Raw genomic sequence first — 22,723 nt, 5'->3', positions numbered from 1 at the left:
AAACCCGGAGGAAGTGGGTACTTCTTATATTACAAAGATACAATGGCAATCTGTCTGCATGTGATTTTTTTAAAAAACATGGGACCTCTGGATTCTAATTTCTAAAGTTTGAGTAACTTTGGACAAGTCACTATCAGTCACTAAATGTCTGCAAATCTTAGCATAAGAGACACAAAGTTCTTGGAAGTAAAGAGAGGTATTGTGTAGACAGGGACTATCTCTCTGATATATGGCCAGAGACAAAAAATGATGAAAAGCCCAGCCCTGGGAAGGTCTGAGGGAAAAACCAAGCAGAAAGAACAATACAGAACAAGCTCATTTCTTGGAAGATCAGCAGGTTAGTGGGCCCCAGAATAGAGGGATGGAAATGATCAGATGGGACACTGAAGAAGTAAGCAGCTCAGACCACACAGTTCTTATAGACCATACAAAGAATTGGAATTTGATTCTAAGTTTAAAATGGGAGCCATTGGAAGGTTGGAAGCAGGAGAATCATGTGATTTGATTTCAGCTTTTAAATTTTCACTCTGGAGGCAGGGAAGCTGGTCAGGAGACTATTGCAGTAGGACAATATTGCAGAACATGAAAGTGGCTTGGTCTTAGCTGCCGTGGCATAATGAATAACCAAGTATGAGGTGCACAGTTAAAAACAAATTTGAAATGTGTTTTGAAATGAAATGTGTTTTGAATTAAGTTGCATGCTATGACAAATATTATCATTTAATTCTCATTTTTTAGATTACAGAAGCTTAGCATTTTTTTTTTTTTTTAGACGGAGTCTCGCTCTGTCACCCAAGCTGGAGTGCAGTGGTGTGATCTCGGGTCACTGCAACCTCTGTCTTCCAGGTTCAAGTGATTCTCCTGCCTCAGCCTCTCAAGTAGCTGAGACTACAGGTGCGAGCCCCCACACGCGGCTAATTTTTGTATTTTTATTAGAGACGGGGTTTCATCATGTTGGCCAGGCTGGTCTTGAACTCCTGACCTCAGGTGATCTGCTTGCCTCAGTCTCCCAAAGTGTTGGGATTACAGGCGTGAGCCACTGCACCCAGCCTGAAGCTTAGATATTAAGTGATTTGTCCAATGTCACACAACCATTTGGTTGCAGATTTAGAATACAAACCTAGTTGCCGTGGCTTCATATCTGTTATACCTGTTACTCTAGAATAACACTTAATAGCACCAACTTAACATTATTATGAGACCATGGGCCACTTTTAAGAGTTACAGAATTTTTGAGTTGGTAGGAACTTCAAAGATTATCTCCTTCCACACTCTCGCTTTACAGATAAGGAAACCAAGGGAAGTTTTGTATGTTTGTTTTTTGTTTTGTTTTTGTTTTTTCCAAGTTAACTGACTTTCTAAAGCTTGCTCAACAAGTAACGGACAGGGATGGCAACAAGTTCAAGTATCTTGATTCTTAGAGGGATGTTATTTCCACAACAGCATAGCAAGTCCATTATTTGGTGCTTTCTATGACAGGAAATAAAGACATATTTTGAAAGTATGGAGAGAATTTTGCCTACTTCACAGTTATATCCAAATTTATCTTGTTCTTCAAAATAATGGCATTTGCGGCAACCTGAATGGAATTGGAGACTATCATTCTAAGTGAAGTAACTCAGTAATGGAAATCCAAACATATGTTCTCACTCATAAGCAGATGCTAATCCATAAAGACGCAAAGACATAAAAATGATACAATGGGCTTTGGGGACTCGGGGGAAAGGGTGAGATGGGGGTAAGGGATAAAAGCCTACAAACTGGGTTACAGTGTATCCTGCTCGGGCGATGACTGCACCAAAATCTCACAAATTACCACTGAAGAACTTACTCATGTAACCAAACACCACCTGTTCCCCAAAAACCTATGGAAATAAATAATAAAATAAAATAAAATAAAATAAAATAGAGAAGTTGATTTGGCTCACAGAAAAAAATGGATATTTTACATGGTTTCTATGTATATAATTAGACATTTGTTCCTTAAAAAATAAAGATATTTAAGACACTAAAACAAATAAATAAATTTATCTGGTTCTTTATTAAATATCTATTGAACATCTATTTTCGGGCACTATAATAGATTATAAAGATTTCAAAATTAATGTTATAGCCCTCTAGGAGATTGTAATCAAGTGGGAAAGACAAAAATAATGCAAAAATATATTTCAATATAACATGGTAAAAGCCAAAACACAGAAATAAAGATAGTCATGAAAACACAGAGAATGGAGCGATAACTAATCGTATCTAGAAGAGTGAGGAAAGATCCAAAAGTGAAATTTTTTCCAAACCTTGGCCAATAAGCTAGGTGATGATTGGCTTTGATTTTACCCCACGAGTAATGGATGCTAGGCAGACAAGAATGAGATTTTCCCTCTTCTTGATATTTTCAAGATATAAAAAAGGGAGAAAGTATTTCCCAAAAATTAAGGAAGTAGAAGAACTGAGCTTGTCCGTGAAGGCTCTCCTCTCTGATCATATTGGAAGAAGGTCATAACAACATTCTCAGGTTATGTGATGGTAGCTCATTCTAAATCTTTATCAAAAAATGCATTACATTTGTGGTTCGCATCTCCAAAGCTGTGTCATTTCACAGCCGCTACATGCTTTCATGCTATGCATGGAAAAGAAACTCAAGGGTATCCATGGAGCAGTGCTACTATTACTGTTTGGTTTCTTTTCTCCATCTACCTCCTCTCCCAGGATAAGCTCACCCTCCTCTCATTACTCCAACCACTATCTACATGGCTAAATCTCAAATTCATGTCTTCAGGCTAGACCTACCAGAGCAAGAAGGACAATTTCCATGTGGATGGTGTTGAGGGATGTCTCTTTTTCTTGATTGCAATTTACAAAGCAGATATCCAGAGCTGGTTCAGAAGAAAAACCTAGCGGCTGAGTCAGAATGTTCAAAATTAAGAGATTAGATCAAAATAACAAAAAAAAAGTACTAAATGTAAAATAAAGAGCACTGATGACCTCTGCTTTGTGGATCCCATTATACCACATACAGTCTTCTAATATAACACCAGCCATATTTTACTGGGTTTTCTATTTCACATATGTCTCTTTCTTGTTAGAAAATTAGCTCATTAAGAGGAAGGAATATCTCTTGCTCATTTTACATTTCTGGTGCTTAGACCAGGGCCTGGTACAGAAGCACTCAACAACAACAAAAAAACTACATGAATGAGTAAATAAATTAAAAACCATCCTGAGGTATTTGGGGCCTTCATGGTATCTATTACATCTTAGCAGAATAATAGAATCTCTGAAGCATAGCAAGAGAGGGTTGTTAAAGCCCTCCAGGTGTAACCCCACTCATCAAACAACCCTCTTCTTATCTGTGTCATCTGAAGACTTAGGGTGATAGAAGACTCACTGTCTTCTAAGGCCATTTACTAATCTTTGAAAGGCTTAAATGAGAAAGTTGTTTGTTTTAACAAGCTGACAACTCTGGCTTCCTCCCATACATTCTAGCTGCATCCTTAGGGCTTTCAGTGAGTAAATACAATCCCTCAGAAGATGCTTTGCTATCGATTTGAGAGCCTTGTCTAGGCCATATTTGATTTCAGACTGAACTTGTTACAAGCTTTAAGTCTTTTCATTCACAAATCCTAATAAAAGATTATTAAAAAACCAATTGAAATTGCTCAGCACAGCAATATCGAAGTGATGGGTTCTTTCTTGAGGTCTTACCTTCTTTTAATCAAGAAGAAAGAAAAGAACTATAGACTGTTGACAGTAACCATGTGTTATCTACTTTCCGCACACTTCTTTTCTTCATCTAATTTAATTCTTCTAATCAAATCATGGTATTATCATTTTCCCTTTACAGGGAAGCTAATAGGCATTGTTTAAAAGCCAACTGTTCCTGGTTCAAAGATATAATGACCTACATTTGATGTTATGTTGACTCAACTGAAGGACTGTCATAAATTAATGTATGAATTTTAAAACTAAATACATTCTTTAAATTGCAGAGAAATTACCTCCCTCTAGGTAGGTACCATAGATTTTGGAATTAAAGGAATCATGGCTTTATTTCCTGGCTTTACTTCTTCATAGCTAGGTAACCTAAAGCAGGCCTCGTAACTTCTCTGGGATTCAGTGTTCTAATTTGTGAAATTATAGTAGTAACATAGACTATGTAAGGCTAAAGTGAGGATAAAATGGAATCACATATGTCAAGGTGGCAGCACTATGCCCAGCACATGACAGTGGTGATGATGATGAAGAGAACATTGAGATTCAATTAAATTGAAAATATTGCTGCTGGGAGGACCTTTAACAGTTCCCTAATCAAACTCAAACTGACATCAGATCCAGAGGGAGCAAGGGTTTTATTCAAGATCATAGAGCAAGTTAGCTTCCTGCCACCATTCCTAGGTCTACTCTCCTCTCTGCAGTCCAGACAAAGCCCTCCAGGTCTAGCATTTCCTCGACAGGATAGGACAGAAATGAGCAGCCCAGGCATCCTTGGTGTTCAGCTTTCCTCTAGCCCGTGTGAGGGGTGCAGGAGAGAGAGAGAGCACAGTCTAGTTCTCTGCACAGGCTCTTTCTCTGGGGTTTCTTCCCTTCACATTTAATTGCTAAGGACAGTCACATAAAAAATAAATAAATCTTCATTTCTGTGGGGTCCATCTGCTCCCACCACTCACCTGCACATGAAAGATGCCTGCTCGTGAATGCATCTCAATTTCAAATGAACAGTCAAAAAAAATGCTCCCGTCAAGGCTGCCTCACAGTGGGTACAAACCTCTGCAACAGCGCTCCTCCTGAGGCAGCAAGTTCATCCTGTCCATTAGTGAGGAGGATAAGAAGGGCCTGTCAGGGCTGCCTCCCCAGGACACAGGGCCCTCGGGCAGACAGATGCGCTGAGTGTGAAAAGAAATTTTCAAAAGCCTTCCTCGCTCCCAGCCTGGGGCAGAGCAAACAGGGCTGGGACCATCAAAGCCAGCTGCTTGCCTACAGGCTGACACCCCAGCTACTGGGGTTTAATTTCACATTCTTACTCTCTCCCGCTCCAGTTACTTTTGGTGATTATTTTTATCGTGGTATATTTGTAAAATTATTTTTCTTGGATCTTCCCTCTAACACCCATGTGCTGTGGTGATACAGGATCAAAAAGATAGGTTCCTATCTAATCAGGAAAGAGTAAGGAATTATTAAAATTGTCAGGGGAGGGCTAGGGACACTGAATTCTATTTCTTAGATGTTTCCACTTTTCATGATCCCTCTGTCCAATTTTTCCAATCTAAAGAGCAGAGTGATGGGTGCAAATCATTTCTCTATCCTCCCCTCTTTCTTCCCTCAGAAGTGGAGGACAATAATAAGAGGTGGAGAGGGTGATGTAATTTTAGATTCAAAAGAGGGTGGTTTTTAAGTCTTCATAGCCAGTACTACACAGATTGCTGCCATATAATGGAATTCTTCCAAGTATTTTGGGAGGAATCAGCCTTCTGTTCACACGTCAACACATATTTGATATTATCAAATTATTTTATAACTTTCAATGTGCTTCCATGTTTATCTCATTTTAAATCTTACAATGACAGCATCAGATGGGTGTAATTATTCGTTACTTGTTAACAACAGATAAGCCAGAGTATTCAGGGAAAAGGAAGGAGAACAGTTTGCATCGCTCCATTAAGCCTTGGGACATTGTCAGAATAATTGTCAAATAATTCTTTTCAACTAGATTCTCTGTCAAACTGCCTGATACCTGAGCCCAAGGATGGGAGTGAGGGAGGGGAGTGCAGAGAAGGGAGGAGGAACAAGAACCTGCTTGTGGCCCCCAGCTCACAAAAATGAACTCAACTCCAGAGGAAGCTAAATGACTAAATGTGATCCTCCTTAGAGCAATTATCACTCAGACCAAGGAGAGACCAGAAATGGGGAACCGGGGCTTCCAGAGAGTTGATGTCCCCAAGATCATGGCATAAACACTTATGTCGCCATCAAGATCCGATCTCATCAGCAACCCTAGCAGGCCTCCCTGTGAGCCAAATCTCCTCAGCCTTTCTAGGAATCAGTTTTCTCATCTATAATATGAGATGCTTAGACCTCACTGTCTTTCAAATCCTTTTTGACACCAATGTTAAGTGGTTCTAGGACAAATCACAGCATCTACTCAGAATGTATTATTTTAGAGATTTAAATGGACACATAAGCCGTAAAGGGAGTTCTTCATGTTGCTTTTCACTAGTCACATTTTTGACTAGCACTGGGGTTAATATCTCAGTTTTAACCTTTTTTGCACTCCAAGCAGAAAATGCCTTAGATTGGAGGAATGGGTATTATGAGGGGGACTGTCACTTTCCACCATCAGCAGCAGATCTGGGGAAGGAGTCACGCATTATTTGCAGAATAATGGACCTTTCTGATTCACACACCCTCTAGTCAGCTGGTCTGCTCACCAGGGAAAGCAGATCAATGCAGATTTGGGAAATCAAGGAAAAACAAGATGGTGACACTGGAAAGAAAATGAATAAATGACAAGTAAAAAGAGAAAAGAAAGGATATTCCAATATTGGCACCATGCTTCTCCGCATATGTAATGCCTTCAGTGCACCCTCCAAGAAAGGTATGGATATCTCTCCTTTACACATAAAAGAACTAAAGTTCAGAGAGTTTATGTCACCTGCCTAAGGCCATTCAGTGAGCAAATGGGTGAAGTAGAACTTAAAACCAATCTGTCTGACTAAATCCAAAACATCACACTGTGTTCCTGTCAGTCATAGTCAGCTTTGTAAATTTGTGTTGTGTTGGATAAAATATATGTTAATGGTTATGCTTTGTTTTACACTGTAATTCATTAAAATACTTTGCAATTGAAATAAGCTAAAGACCTTGAAGTTTCAAAGTCTACTAAGTAACATCATTAACATGGAGGTAGGTGATAAAAATCTTTCCCAAGTTCCATTATAAAATAGACTTCCCTCCTAATCACAGGTAGCAAAAATGATCTTAAATCATGTTATACTTTATATTTGGGAGAGTTTTATTATTTTGTATTGAATATTTATGGGGTTTTTTAAATTTTCACTTGGGGAGGTGGGCAGTTCCCAGCATCCATTTCTCTTTATTTTTCTTATTACACCTATGCCATTTCCAATCTTTAGTGTTACGGTGGACATGTGACCCATGGCCCACCTATCAGGACAGAGGATTCACCCATCTATATAGATAGGTTTAGGGATTGGTGTTTGATTCAGTCACGAACAATTGGCTGCATACGGCTTTTTCTGAGACTATTGGAAAAGAAGCATGTTCTCAAATCTGTAGACTTTAACCTGTAAATACATGAGCCCAGAACGGTTAGGGGCCACCAGATAATATCTGAGAATAAAGCTACTCAATGTAAGGCAGAGCGAAAAAATGGAGAAGCACCCAACTCTGAAAAAATCAATAGCAACGACTGAAACTATCAATTTTCCTTTTTGCCAGTGTCTGTTTTCTGTTATTAGTGAGTAAAAGAGAACTCACTGGTCCAATTTCATTGTATAGTCCAGATTAATAAAGATTTTTAGCAAAGCAGATTTAGTGTGAAGATAAATGAATGTTTTAGCACAAAACATCACAATTAAAACCTCATGGATTTTACTTCATCACATAATTTCGTCTCTTTGGTAAGCATCACACAAGAAAGAAAATGTCAGGAACAACATTATTTTCATTATTTTGCCACTGATAAGTCTTAAGTAATACCAAGGTAGGAGACTGGCAGGACTTGTTTTCTGGTCACAACCCTGCTGACCAAAACAGGATCTGGTCCACCCAGGATGATGTGAAGAAACTGGCAGGAACCAGCAGATCGTGACAAAAGCCATCCCTAGCTGCCCTCACAGCTCATTAGTGTAAGATACTCTCACCAGCACCATAAGAGTTTACAAATGCCATGACAATGCCCCGAAAGTTACCACCCCTTTCCATGGCAATGGCCCAGAAGTTACTGACTGCTTTCCCTGAAAGTTCTACATAACCCACTCCTCAATTTGCATTAACCCACTCCTTAATTTGCATGTAATTATAAGAGGGTATAAATGAGTATAAACACAGTTGCCAAGAGCCCATACATTGCCAACTCTGGGTGCACTGACTGTGAGTTAGCCCTGCCCTGCAAGAAGCAGTACCATTCCAAAGAAGATTAGGCTTGCCCTTGAATTCTTTCCTGGGTGAAAATAAGAACCCTTCCAGGGTAATCCCCAATTTTGGGGCTCACCTGTCTTACACCAGTACCACAAAGTGCCAACCTTTTTTACCAATCAGATTAAATTTTTCCTCAATTCCCTCTTTGTGAGAATGCCTTTCTTCACTAGGAAATGGGGACCTTCTCTACATTTCTTCAAATCCAAAGCATCAGTTTGGCTGGTATCCGTCCAAGAAGGGAAAATGAAAAGCGTGTTCAGTGCCTGAGGATCCTGTGCTCATTGAAGCACATGCTGCTAGCAGTTTTTTCAGGTGTTAGAGTGACTGAAGACCTCACTATAATTTCTGGACTGAAAATGGTTTCTCTAGATGCTAGAGAGAAAGAGTGGCCTTTCTTCCTCAGTATGATGCTCAAATATTGTCACTCCATGCCCAGATAGGCAGAGCTTCAAATGCCAAAGCATTCTGGAAGCTCAGTGTCCTTCACTTAGGCACACACAGCCATTCCTTGAGGCATGCCCAAGCTGCCAGGGTGACTGGGCTAGGGGGAATCTGACCATGAGCCACAGATTGTGTCCAGAGCTAAGCCTTCCCTATGACCATGGAAAGCCAGAGAGTGCAAGAGAGGGGGAGTTATTAAGGTAAAGAGGTCAGTTCCAGTTACCATCATTGATCAAAGACACAGCTGGGATTTTCCAGCGACCTGAGGCTGTGAGTGTGTGGGTGGGGGAAGGCTCAGAGGTGCTGAACAATCAAAAGACCCTCCTTCCCAGTAGTCCCTGATAGACTACCACACATTCTCGTACTAGTCTAACATATATATTTTTCTAAAGTAATAGGTTTTAGGACTAATTCAAGTTTTTCTTATAACATCCAGAGCAGGATCTATTTTCTGTGTAGAGTTTGCTTTCTATTTCATTCTACTTTGGTTCTCCCCAGCATTAACCTCTGCATCTTGTACTACTTTGTTCTTGTCACCAATCACACTTCCCTGTTTTAGAACAGCATTGACATTTTGTGTGTGCACGGTGCATAAAAGAGTACCTAACCCACTTTCTGCCCTGTGGTATCTCCAGAAATAATACATCTGCCAACCACTCTAAGATATTAATAGCACTCAAAAATGTTTCCCTGTATGCAACTCCAGCCTTGCTATTTATTGTCAGATAGGTATTCAAAATTTCACAGGCCACACAGTCTTTCCTCACTGTCAGGGAAGGACTGGCCCGCCATGAATTGCTCCGATTCTGAATGAGAAGCAGTGAGACCCAAAGCAGCAAGCCCCAGGAACAGGTGACCTTGATCAGAATAATAGAAAATCCACATGCTATAGAATAGGGCAGGGAAAGCAACTCCTCCACACCAAGGTTCTATTGGGCCCCGAGACAAATGCCTCTGCTGTGACATAAACAGTTGTAAAATATCATGCAGAACTTCTAGTTCCACATTTTGGGAGCACACTGAGAAAGAAGGACATGACAGCCGGGTAGTACCCACCAGTCGGAGGCAATCAGACACCCCGGAGCGTCAGGAGGAACTGTAGGGCACTGAAAACGGGAAGAAAATGAAAACTTGGGAGGGCTGGGCACACACACGAGAAAGCGAGGAAGGAAAATGGGTTTCACAAGGAAACCTAGGAGGAGAACTGGCTATCACCCTGGACCCCATTTCTCCAGCTGCTGCACGGAAGTGACAGAATGGCAAGAGTGACCTGGGTGACATGCAGGGATGGGTGCAAAAGCCACCCTCGGTTCAGATGAATGGATCTCGGGTCCCACATGCTGTCAGGACTCTGTGACTCAGTGACGAGTGCCCTCAGGATGATGCCTCCCCAAGCAGCTGGCACTGAGGGGTGACTGTGGTGACATGAAAAGGGGGAGGGAGGGGGGCATGTTTAAGTCACATCAAAAGTTGAGCCTGGGGCTGGGCGCGTGGCTCACGCCTGTAATCCCAGAATTTCGGGAGGCGGAGGTGGGCGGATCACTTGAGGTCAGGAGTTCAAAACCAGTCTGGCCAACATGGTGAGACCCCCGCCCCTCCATCTCCACTAAAAAAAAAAAAAAAATAGCTGTGTGTGTGTGTGTGGTGGTGCAGGCCTGTAATCTTAGCTACTCGGGAGGCTAAGTGGGGCAGGAGACTCGCTTGAACCCAGGAGGCGGAGGTTGCAGTGAGCCGAGATCGTGCCATTGCACTCCAGCCTGGGTGACTCTGTCAAAAAAAAAAAAAAAAAAAAAAAAAAGTTGGGCCTGGAAGAGCTGTTGAGTGAATGTGTTGGGAGAATGAGAAGGAAATGAGGTGTGGCAGGCCTGGCTGACGCCAGGTGGTGGGACACGCCAGTGCCTCCCGTGCTGCCTGAGGGAGAGGCTCTGGCCCCTGGGAGAAGCGCTAGGCCCGGCTGGGATGTCTGGGGCTGTCCCTGAAAGGAGATAGTAACTGTTTGGTTTGTTTGTTTGTTTTGTTTTTAGTGTGGGGCGTTTTTTGTTTGTTTTTAGTGAAACTGTCAATTCTGAGAGAAGCCGTGAGGGAAGCGGAATCTGCTCCTCCAGATGGAAGCGGAGCCGGAGGGACCGCGCGGTGGGAAGCCAGGGTGGGCACCGCGGGCAGAGGCGGGGGTGAGCTGAACCACCGCAAAAGCGGGAGGAGACCCGGGCACCTCGTCTGCCGGCCGGTGCACCGGGGGTCTGCCTTTGACTTGAAGCCTAAAAGGGGGTGAATTTGGGACTCCAAGAGCGGAGATATTTTGTCCAGTCATGCAGGGCGGTCAGCTTAGGCTTGAAATTGGAAGACTGGGGCAGGAGGGAGAGTGGCCCCAAACTCCTTACTCATAAGGGATGAGAGTTAAAAATGGACACGGCGTCAGGATCCCCGTGGCTTAATGCTCATATCCTAGTGAGCCGTCTGTAATGACATTTTTGACGTGGATTATGGCAGTGTTACAACCCTGCTCAGAGGCCGCTTACTGAGTACACCTGGGCTTAACGGGCTCTTCCGGAGACATTAATTCAGACGTGAGAATTAGACTCACGTGTTCATCGCTTCCCCGCTTTTCTGCTAACATCAAATGCAGACTCATGTATTCAGACCCTGCCTTCTACAGCACTCAGACTTAGAAAGTAAACGCATACTTCTGCAGATATATAACAATTTAAAATATCTTATTTTACATTTTTTATATTAAAATTCATTTGGATGCAAACATTAAAATTAACAAATAGAGACAGAAGTGACATGGAACAGCTTAAAATACAAAGATATAAACACTTTTCATCAAGATAAACATTGCCTTAGTGAAACTGGCCCGATTGTCCGTCAGAACTAATGTTTACCGGGTTTTTTTTTGAATAAACATAAAAATTAAACGTCCCATTCTTAAAACTTGAGAAAGCTGTATCTCCATCTGTCTTACCTAAGTTTCTTTCTCGGGAAAACAAACATCAGGCCTCCCAGATAGTATCAAGGAGCTGAAACTCACCAGATCTCTGAACAATGAGAGGCCAGACCCTTCACCCACCGTGACTCTGAAACAGACCACCTGTTTCCTGTTGAGCAGCCCCTCTTCCTTATCCCTTCCCAATTTCTTTTCCTACACATAGGTACATTTCTTCCCTACTATATAAAACCCTGATTTTCGTTGGTCAGGTGGATGGATTTAAGACTGATCTTCCATCCTCTAGGTCGCAGCACCCAAAGCCTTTTTCCCTAACAATACTCATTGTCTCAGTGATTGGCTTTTGGTGCAGAAAGCAATGAGACCTCTACCGACGGGATCTGTACTGAGCCCCTAGCGTCTGGGTAATATATAATAAGTAACTTCCAAGGAATTAAAATGTCATTGCTTAGTACCTGATTTTGGAGGGTTGGGGGTCAGTGGCAAGGGAGATTTCTAGTGAGGATACCAGAGTAAACCATGTTGGTTTGATTGGCAGTAACATACGTTTAAAATGAGAGCTGAGTGAGCTACAAGCTTCAGCAGCATGTTTAACGCATTCTTTATTTACATGTTGTAAATGAAAAGTTACTGCATAACACTTTTTAAAAAGAAAAAAAAAACTTTTATTCTTGAAATGCCCAATTTTAGTTATGGATCATACTAAGTACAAGCAAAGGCTATTTTAGCTGTTCTTAAAACCAAATGCAAAATATACTGGAATAATTTAAATCCTGTTATAAACAAAAGAGATAAGATATAATGACAACTCTAAAATAGCAGGAAAAATTAACTCATTTTAAAATTAGTTGTTAGCAGGTATAATGAAAGAAGATAAATTTAAACAATTAGGAACTGATGAAGACTGTAAAAATTGCTATTTAGAAAGAATAAGTGAGAAAATGCTTGGGAAACATGGATATATATCAAGCAATAGATCTGAATGACAAATACCCTAGGCTATTAAGGAAATTAGTCAAGCAACTTAATTAACTTACAATGATTTTTTCAAAGCTCATGGTAGTTTGGATACTGGCAACATGGTACCCACCTTCAGTAAAAGGTTAGGAGAAATTAACTCAAATATTACCAGTGGTAATTTTCCCACTAATCATAGTCATCATTAGTAAAATTATAAGGTTAGAAACTCAGCACAAGATAAAAAGATTATGGCACCAGAGCCGTAATAACCCTGAGCATGTTAAAATGAAATAAAGCACTCAGTGTGGTGATTCCTCAGGGATCTAGAACTAGAAATACCATTTGACCCAGCCGTCCCATTACTGGGTATATACCCAAAGGACTATAAATCATGCTGCTATAAAGACACATGCACACGTATGTTTACTGCAGCACTATTCACAATAGCAAAGACTTGGAACCAACCCAAATGTCCAACAATGATAGACTGGATTAAGAAAATGTGACACATATACACCATGGAATACTATACAGCCATAAAAAATGATGAGTTCATGTCCTTTGTAGGGACGTGGATGAAATTGGAAATCATCATTCTCAGTAAACTATCGCAAGGACAAAAAACCAAACACCGCATATTCTCACTCATAGGTGGGAATTGAACAATGAGAACACATGGACACAGGAAGGGGAACATCACACTCTGGGGACTGTTGTGGGGTGGGGGGAGGGGGGAGGGATAGCATTAGGTTATATACCTAATGCTAAATGACGAGTTAATGGGTGCAGCACACCAGCATGACACATGTATACATATGTAACTAACCTGCACATTGTGCACATGTACCCTAAAACTTAAAGTATAATAATAATAAAATTTAAAAAAAAGCACACATAACAAAACAATATTCAATATTCCCTCAACATCATTAAGATAGAGGGAAGGAAAATAAAATTTACACTGGCTAGTGAATATGTATTTTTTATAATTTTAGAATGTAAGCACTCAAACATTTACTTACCAAATCACTCTTAATTTGTTTAGAAGTTCAGCTATGTAAATTGAAATGTGTCCTTGGCAAGGGAAGACTAATCATTACCTTCATGTAAAAGAAGTCTCTAGTGAAGGGTCACAATAGTTGACCAGAGAGCTAATTTCCATTAGTGTATACCATTCACTAATGATATCAAGACTGAACATTGTGACATTTGGTTATACCTCAATAGTGAGAGCAATTTTAGGATTTAAAGTTTCATTGCACTGGGAATTTGTGGTTAACATTGGTATGAGTACAAAAAGGGTGTATCTAAAACCTCACAGCCAGGGAAAAACAGCTTTAAATAGGAAAATTGGAAACAAGTATTTGAAAGGAAATAAAATCTTTAATGAAGATAAATGGGTAGATAAAAGCAAGTAATCAGTGGAAGGATATTCCTGAGCAATGCTAATGAATTATTCACTAGAATGGAGCCCACGGGCTGCTGGGAGCTGTCCTCTCCCCACTCCACGGTTCCCGGCAAAGGCAATGACTATACCAGAACTGTCTTCATGCACACTGGGCCAGGCCTTGAGGGGACTCTGACTGTGGCGGATTTGGGATAACTACCTTAATATTGTTGAAAACGACAGCAGCTAGTATTAACATTCTTGGGCAGAATATAAAATAGACACAGACGCCATGGAGGAATAAAGACAGAGCCACCTTGTATAATAGTAAATCACATTCTTGTGAGGTTTTTGTCAGATTCAAGACTAAGAGTAGCTTTCTTCTCACTTCCAAACAATTAAAGGAAAAAGACCATTTCTCTATCAAAAAAAAAAAATCTAAATGTATCGATACCTCTAATATCAGACAAACATTTTAGTTTCATTGAGTTTCTGTTTTGTTTTTCAGTTGTAAAATACATATGGTTTCCTAAAAGATCTACTTATCAAGATGAGTGTAAAGGTTAAATTACCTGAGCTATCCCATGGTAAAGTTGTTCACAGACTTTGAAGTTATATGCACCAGTTATCATCCCCATCATTCTCATTAGATCATGTTTGTACAACTCTCCCCCAAAGTATTAACATATACATGGACCATTTAAGAAACATTTACCTCCCAATAGTGTACTACTGTAGTGAGTCAGGAATACGGTGATAAATAAAACAGTTCTCTGCCCTGAGAATTTATACTCTTGGGTAGAAGGTGATATTTTAGTGCAATGTGACAATGATTCTGATTTTTTTAAAATATGGTTGTACATGGGAAATACACTTATTCCATTCCTGGGTCAAAGAAGTCTTCCTGGAGGAGGTGATATCTAGGACAAGAACTAAAGGATGTGTAAAACTTAGGAAAGTAAGAGAAGGTTTTGATGGGCGAGGACAACTAGGCAGAATAAATGACATGTTCAAACACCTGGAAGAGACATTTATACCAGATTTTTGGAACTCAGCACAGTTCAGTTTAGGTAAAATTTTAAAATGTCATCCTGTGTTTACAGAGAGATGAAACTGGAGGGCTTGATAGAAACCACGTTTTCAATGACTTTATACAACCTGCAACAGAATTTGGACTTTTGCTGGTGGTCAACAGCAGCTGTTAAGGATTTTAAGCAGACCATACTATGATCATATTAGCATTATTAAGGCTTGTATTGAGGATTTAGAATAAGATTATTGATTACTATAGTAATCAATATTGACCACTGCAGCAATCCAGATGAAATATACTAGTAAAATGATCTAAGGGAGAAGGAGTCTGCAAACTTTCACTGCCCATGAAGTTTTACTATAACACAGACACATCCATTTCTGTATTATCTGTGGCTGTTTTAGTGAGACAATGACAGAGCCAAGGAGTCACAGCAGAGACTGGCCTGCAAAGCCTTAAACATTTACTATATGGCACTGACCAGAAACATTGCCACCCCTTGATCTAAAAAAAAAAATTATAGAGAAGGAGAAAGTATTTCAGAAATATCAAGCAGTTAAAATGAATCATTTGTGGCTGGTTAAATGTGGAGTAGGAAGAAAGATAAGTCTAAGATGTCTACTATGGATTGAATGAACAGGTGATTAATAAGCTAGATCTGATATGCCTTCTTTAAAAATGCTCAACTAATATGAAATAATCATGCTACTTGTGATCGCAGCTTAGTGGAATACAAGTAACAACATACTGCAATGTATTAAACCTACAAAATTGTCAGTCTATATGGTTCAACACGTAGATGAAATAGGCCACATTTTATCTGGAATCAAAATTGAAATGAAGATTATCTTCCAAGTAAAGTTAAACTTGCCCCTTCAAATCTGATTTTTTTTTCTTGAATGACTTCCATACTTGTTTCTCTGTGCCATTAACTATGCATGTTGGACAAACTCAAGTCTCACTTTTCTCATTTGCAAAATAACTGCTTTTATTATATCTAATATCTAAAAGTTCAAACATTAATAAATCCAGATAGTATGATTTTCAATTAATTTACAACAAAGTAAAAATATAGTTGAGGTGGCTGTAAATTTGAGTAATAAAACGTCAAGAGACAGAACCCTCTTGTTAGGGAATTATTACTGGGCTTAAAAGGAAGGTTCCAGACTAGATGCTTGGGAGGCATGTATCCAGTCAAGTCCAAAACTGGACTAGATACACACTATGTTTAGTTAGTTATAACTTTTAAAAGTCAACAAGGTAAAAATCTCCTTAATGGCCAACTTTCTGTAATTTCTAATACTTCTGATGCCGTGATGATTCACCTCTATTGAGAAACTCAGTGCAATTACTGATTTGTTTGTCTTTCTTTAATATATAGAACCAATCAGTCTGGTTGGCCTGTCAGTTGACTAATGAGTATATTGGAAAGATTGAGATGGGTCAACTGAAATATATGCCTAAGTCAGCTGCTTTGATTTTTGGTGTCTAGAGATACAGCTTTCTGAACGTTCCTTTTGTCCTGCCTTTTTCTTCTCATATCCTGGTATAATGAGGGGGAAAGAGAGGATCTTTTGTGGTATCACACATTTGGTTGATTATAAGAACACTATACGTCATATAAAAGAAGAAATCGGGAGAACGAAAGTTGTATATATAGTATGTAGTATCAGTGTTGCATTGTCTATTACTTCAGTATTTAGGCATTTGTATTTAAGATCGAAAGTATAAATATTGTGAGTCACGATCAATTTTGCTTTAAATCATTTGGGCAGGTCCAGGGCCCAGGCACATTGGCAGCTAAGGCACCTGTTAAGGGAGATGATAAATTGAGTCCTTAAGTCCTTGGCAGAGGAGCTGACTTAGAGATAAGAGATAAGAAAATTAGTTTGCAATAGAATCTCTAATGATTAGTTGGGATGGAAATCAGAAGGTCTTCTCACAGTCTGATTACATTGTTTTTTATTATCTTGGCAACTTATTTGGAACAGCAGCATATTTTGCAACTTTCTCCCCTCAGTCCCTTCAGTAACATATTTTGGTTGAGTGAACAGTAAATAACAAGAAGAACTAGGGACAATTAACTATTATTGTAGCCCTATGACTAATGAAAATCCGTACATTGCACTTTGGGGAAGAATGTACTTATTAACATGCCTGTGGGGGGTAGGTTAATGTTGCTATTTTAACTTTGCTTGAAAGAAACTAGAGTAACTTACCCAAGGTTATCCAGCTGTCAGAATTACAAAAGCAGAGTTCTTCCCAGCAAAGGCCCCAAGCCACCTTGTGAAGCAAGTCAGGAATACCTGCAGCACCCTCTGGCCATGCCCCAGATTCTAAACACAGAATCCATCTCTGCACAATGAAGATCCTTAGTTAGCTAACTGTTGTACATAGTTACTAGGAAAGCTGAATACTCCCAAAGCTTTTCACATTTTCTTTCTTTCTTTCTTTCTTTCTTTCTTTCCTTTTCTTTCTTGCTTTCTTTTTTCCTTCCTTCCTTCCTTCCTTTCTTTCTTTCTTTATTTATTTATTTCTTCTTTCTTTCTTTCTTTCTTTCTTTCTTTCTTTCTTTCTTTCTTTCTTACTTTTTTAGGAATTTTGAACCCAATAAAACCTTCAGGACTGGAAGGAGATAGTTTTAATGGTGAGGTGACAATTGATGAGGTTGATACGGGAGTTCATGGGCCATCAAATCACACTGTCACTTATCTTTATTAATTCAACTAAAATGTACTGACCACTTACTGGGTAGATCAGTGTTGCTGTGGCATAAATCTTAACAGCGTAGTGTAGTATTAAACATGGGGTAGATACTGAAGGCTTTTCTTATATAACGTGAAAGAGAGTGGTTTATCCTATAGCTACTGGTTAGCTACTGGAAAGTTGTGAACAGATGTATTGTTCAATTAGATTTCTGTGATTGGTTCTGGCAATAATCTGGAGGATGGAGTCGAGGAGAAGTGGGAGCAAGAATGAAGAAGTAACAGCCTTTTTCCAGGAGAGAAATGATGAGGACTTGAATTAGAGCACTGGCCCTAGGTACAGAGAGATGAAGACAGATTATGAGATGTATCAGTACACACAGTACAAGTAGGCAAGGAAGACAGAAGTGACTGGATGCAGGAGGCAAGAGTAAGGAGAAGTCTAAGATGACTGCTGGGCTTCTGGCTTGGAGAACTGACTGGATGATGGTGCTGTTCAGACAGACTGGAATCACAGGAGGTAAATCAGATGAAGGCTGTATGGGGTGCAGCAGATGCAGGAATGGAAAATGTCTTTATTTTGAAAGAAAGTTAAGTGTGAAATGCCTGCAGACATCTGAAGGACAATTTCCAGTAGGCAGTTTTCTATACAGCTCCAGACCTGAAGATGAAATCTGTACCAGCACAAAGATTGTGACAGTCATGATGTAGTTGGCACTCATGCATCTGGGCCGCCCTTGATCTTCACCCAGCTGGTGTTTGATCATAAATGGAGGTTAGAATCCTTAGAACTAAAAAAAAATGAGAGACATTCATTTTCTCTTTGACTTTGTTTGTTTTTAATATTTTTCTTAAAGCCCTGAAGTATTCTGATGATCTTAGCAAGAACCAGGAAAATATGCACTTCAATATCAAGGTGTGTCTAATAAACGTTGGAACGCTTTCATAAAACCAGAAAAATAGGAAGTGTAATTCATAGATGTTTTCCCTGTATTCCCTTTGTTTCCAATGGTTTCTCTGAGTATTTTTAATATTTGCCCTCTGCCTCATAAGAGTCGTTAAAATTTATCTGCAAAACAGTAAACAAAAGTAAAGAATTAAAATGGTCATAATGATGATGAGACTTTATATGTGTAAATCACTAAACACAATGTCTTTAGCTCATAATTATTCAATAAATATTTTTTCTACCCACTTTAATAGATCTACATGTTTACAAAATCTTCTGCAGAATAAAACTAGATGAGTAATATTAATCAAATTACTAGTTGTAAAAAATCAATTCTAAGCATTCCAATTCACTTTGCATTGATTTGCTCTTGAAAACACTTTTAAGGGTTTCCTTCTGGTTCTTTTGTTTCCATTCAAAGCACCAAGAGACTTGCATGCAATAACTGAGGCTTTTTATTTTTAATTACAGAAGATTTGTTTGTTCAGGAATGTGTCTTCTGAAATAAACCTAAAGTTGATCATTGTTACATTGTGAAAAAATAAAATTAAAAACCAAGAATGTTAGCTGAATTCTGATAGATCCATTCCAAGTTAACCTGAAAGTACTTCTTTAAAATAAAAAAGTTGTCATTTGTCTAGAATATATGAGAAGGAAAGCTCACTCATTCAATTCATACAGGCTAATGGCGACACCAAGTGGTATCATATTGGAAATGTTTTTAGTCTGTTTTTGAACTTCTGAAAGAAATTCTAACCTGGGACAATTGTGATTGTGACCAGCATGGTTTGTAATGTAGCTCTAAATAGGGTGGAGTTTTAAAATTATTATTATAACTAGTATTTCTCTAATAAAATTTTTGTCTCCAGCCAAAATAAGAGTCAAAAAAATTCCATATGCACAGTCATGATTAGTAGATAAATGAGCAAAAGTCATTTTACTTATCCTTTTTGGAAAGAAGGTAGGAGGCTGATGGTGTGCAATGTGATTCAGCACTCTGCAGAGGCTGCTGCTATCTCTAATGATCAGGGTTTCCATAGGGAAGTTCAATCCAGTGAGTTCAAATCTTTCTTTGCTCCTTATTAGGTGTTTGATTTGGGGTCCATTATCTCAAATCTCTCAGTAATAAGTTTTTTTCCATATATAAAATGGAGGGTGATATTAACACATTGGGGCTTTGTGAAGATTCAACTAGTTCATGTACAGGAAGTATTAATACAGTGCCTAGCATTGTAGAACATACTGAAAAATTGTGCTTCTTTTTGTTAACTTCATCATCATCATCAAGTCAATCAGATTGACCTATGGATCTCTATACACAAAGTTTGTCTCTCTTCCTTGATGGAATACAATAAAATTTATACCTGATTCCTACCCTCATAGGAAACGCTTGTTTTAGAATCAGTATTTTTGTACCTGAGTATTTTTAAAGCAGTTTTAAAATTACACTAGAATTCATATAGAAAGAAATCATCCTTGGCCTAATCCTGACTCTATTCCTGGAGGTCTATTTGTAACCAAGTCAAGAGAAGAGCAGGGGAACAGGAAGCTTCTGCTCAAATGTCCTCACGTCACCGAAAAATGGAGTGTGATATAACTGTATTTACTTTGTAAAATGATGAGCCTAATATCAATTTAAAGAATAGGTTCAGGAAGGGACAGTCTAGTCTTCAGACTAAAGCAGTAGAGCTAGTTAGGCCTTGGGAAGAGGGAAAATGTGTGTGGAGCTGTGAACAGACAGGTTTTTTATTGGCTATGGGAACACCAGAGAGGTGGAAATCAAGGATGATGCTGCTATTTCTCTTTTCATACCTTGGCAGAAGAAGATCTACAAATCTAGAAGGAAGTGCAAAAACAATTCTCTGTTACTACTTCTAATAATGCAAATCTTAGGGCTTAGAGCAAGGTTTAGAACATATCATGGAAAATGAGGGATTTGAAACTTCAGCAGCTCTTCAACAGTGGTCTCACAGTTCCCATTTGTCTTCCATACCCATAATTCAGGACTTCCACCAACAAGATGTATGCTCCTGGATGAAATCTGAAAATATTAACTGCTGTCATGTTTAAGGACCTGTGCTTAGTGTTGAGCAAGCCATATAAACTCTCTGAGTTTCGATTCCATAAAATAAGGGAGGCATTTAGCATATTCCTAAACTGTCTCCCTATTCAAATATTGAATCTTTGTGACTTTCCCATAAACCGCTTTTTAATCACTGACTTCCCTTAGAATAAAAAAGTTTATCTCTTCCTCCCATGTTGATTTTTCTCTCTACCTAAACAAAAACAAAAATAAACAAATAAAAAACAAACAAAAAACAAAAATGAAAAACCTTACTGCAATCTACCCTGCATTGAAGAATTATATCATAGGTAGGTCCTGGGTTTTATGGAATAAACATAATTTTAAACCTGTTGTCTCCCAAAACACACTTGTGTTGTGCCCTAATTTGGGATTTGGGAAAAACGGTCTCAGTAGAGATAGCTAGAAAGCTTTCTTTCTGCACCTGCTGAAAACCATGTGAACCATTGGATAAGCAAAGCCTTTCCCAGATGAAGGACTTGACTGAGCACTTCAGTCACCAGTGTGCTTCTCAGAAAGGGATACTGGGTCAGCTCTCCCCTCAGCCCTCAGGCCCAGACTCCCAGCCCTCTTTCTGGGAAGGAATTGTCAGGTCATGGACACTTTCCAGGGGGGAAAAGTGTCTAGGGTCTGTCTAGTATAAATAAGCTTTCTAACATACAGTAGCAGCAAAGCAACTTGAGCCACTGAGCCCTGTGGCAGGCGTTTCCTCCAAGCCTTGGTTCTCTAATTGAATGTCACTCTTTTTATTAGGAGGAGAAGGAGATTGCCTAGAGACATTGCTTAACACTTAAGTAGGCTCGCCTAAACCCCTTTCTCTGACACAAGCAGCAGCCCTGGAGAACTGTTAGCAAAGGGCTTCATTCTAATGAGAGAAACTTCAAAGGCCCCAAATGAGGAAAGAAGTGTCGCTGGAAAATGTTGAAATGACAAATAGCGGTATTTCCACTGACAAAAGATGAAGATGAAACAAATGTTAGAACAGAAAACATGATTTTATTTTGCCATGCTCTCACTGGAAACTATCATCAAAGCCCTTAACTGAAATGAAAAAGGTATCGACATAACAAGCACACCAGAGTGAAGTTAGATTTCTAACAACGAAAGTCATCTTTGAAATAAGAAAAGCTTACAAAGTAATGAAAAATCTCAATGCAGAAAGGAAAGCATATGGCCCAAAATAGTGTTGTGCTGCGGATTTGTTAGGAACGTCAAGCTGGAAGCCACTTAGGGATCATCTAGGCAAACCCTTTTATGTTTCAAAGGAGAATTTGAGCCCAAAGGATTTTAAGTAACTTGCTCAAGGTCATATAACTAGTTAGTGACTTCGGAATTGTTAGCAACTGCCTTCCCTACCTCCGTGGAGCCAGTTCCTGAAGTCTATCTACAAATCCACCCTTGCCCGGTTACTGAGACAGCCCTGGTCAGGGCTGAAGTTGAAGTTCACCAAATGCTGGACCCTGGTATTTGTCCACCCCCACAACTGGGCAGGCCGATGCTCTCTGAAGTTAGGTCTGTCTGACACATGACAACAGCCACAGGGACAAAAACTTTTTGCCCATTATGCTTCTAGAATATGGTATGTTCTGGAAGAATAATGGGCAAAAAGAATGGAGGGCTGGCGAAGGCATGGTGCATCCTAAAACCTGGAGCCTACAGAATTAAACATTATAGATAGGAGAAAAGATAAAAAGGCCCAAAAGGTAAAATTTATTATTTTAAAAAAATGTGCTTAATAGGAGAGGGCCTGAGGCTGACTCAAGAGGCGAGATATTCAGATTGCTAGCCTTTCAGAAACTGGCTAAAGGATTTGAATCTGGGTAGCTCAATTTGCCTTCCAGATATACAGGTCTCACATTTTTTCAAGAATAAGTAGGAATTTTTAAAAACGGCATGGAGCCTGAAGAGATGAACAATCTTCGATCAAAGGAAAAGAAGCAGCATGCAAAATACTCAGAAAAAAGATAATCTGAAAATGATGTCCCGTAGAATCCAAAGATAATGTGTGGAAACTGTTTGGAATATGCAACAAAAACAAGATATATTATTTATGAAACAGGATGA

The 22,723-nt window shown here is 39.3% G+C and overlaps 1 protein-coding gene across 1 annotated transcript in view; it reads right to left on the bottom strand.

Annotated features, from left to right (window-relative positions):
* The window catches only part of SERPINB8 (serpin family B member 8), a 49,699-nt gene continuing 44,524 nt past the window's right edge, over positions 17,549 to 22,723 (bottom strand). Inside the window, exon 8 of the mRNA NM_001348367.2 lies at positions 17,549 to 18,418. The gene's annotated coding sequence lies outside the window, so the exon portion shown is untranslated. The remainder of the gene's footprint in view (positions 18,419 to 22,723) is intronic.

The sequence above is a fragment of the Homo sapiens genome, chromosome 18 (genome assembly GCF_000001405.40).
Source record: "Homo sapiens chromosome 18, GRCh38.p14 Primary Assembly".
Lineage (NCBI taxonomy): Eukaryota > Metazoa > Chordata > Mammalia > Primates > Hominidae > Homo > Homo sapiens.
Note: the sequence above shows the minus strand (reverse complement) of the source record. Positions and strands in the feature narration are given on the sequence as shown.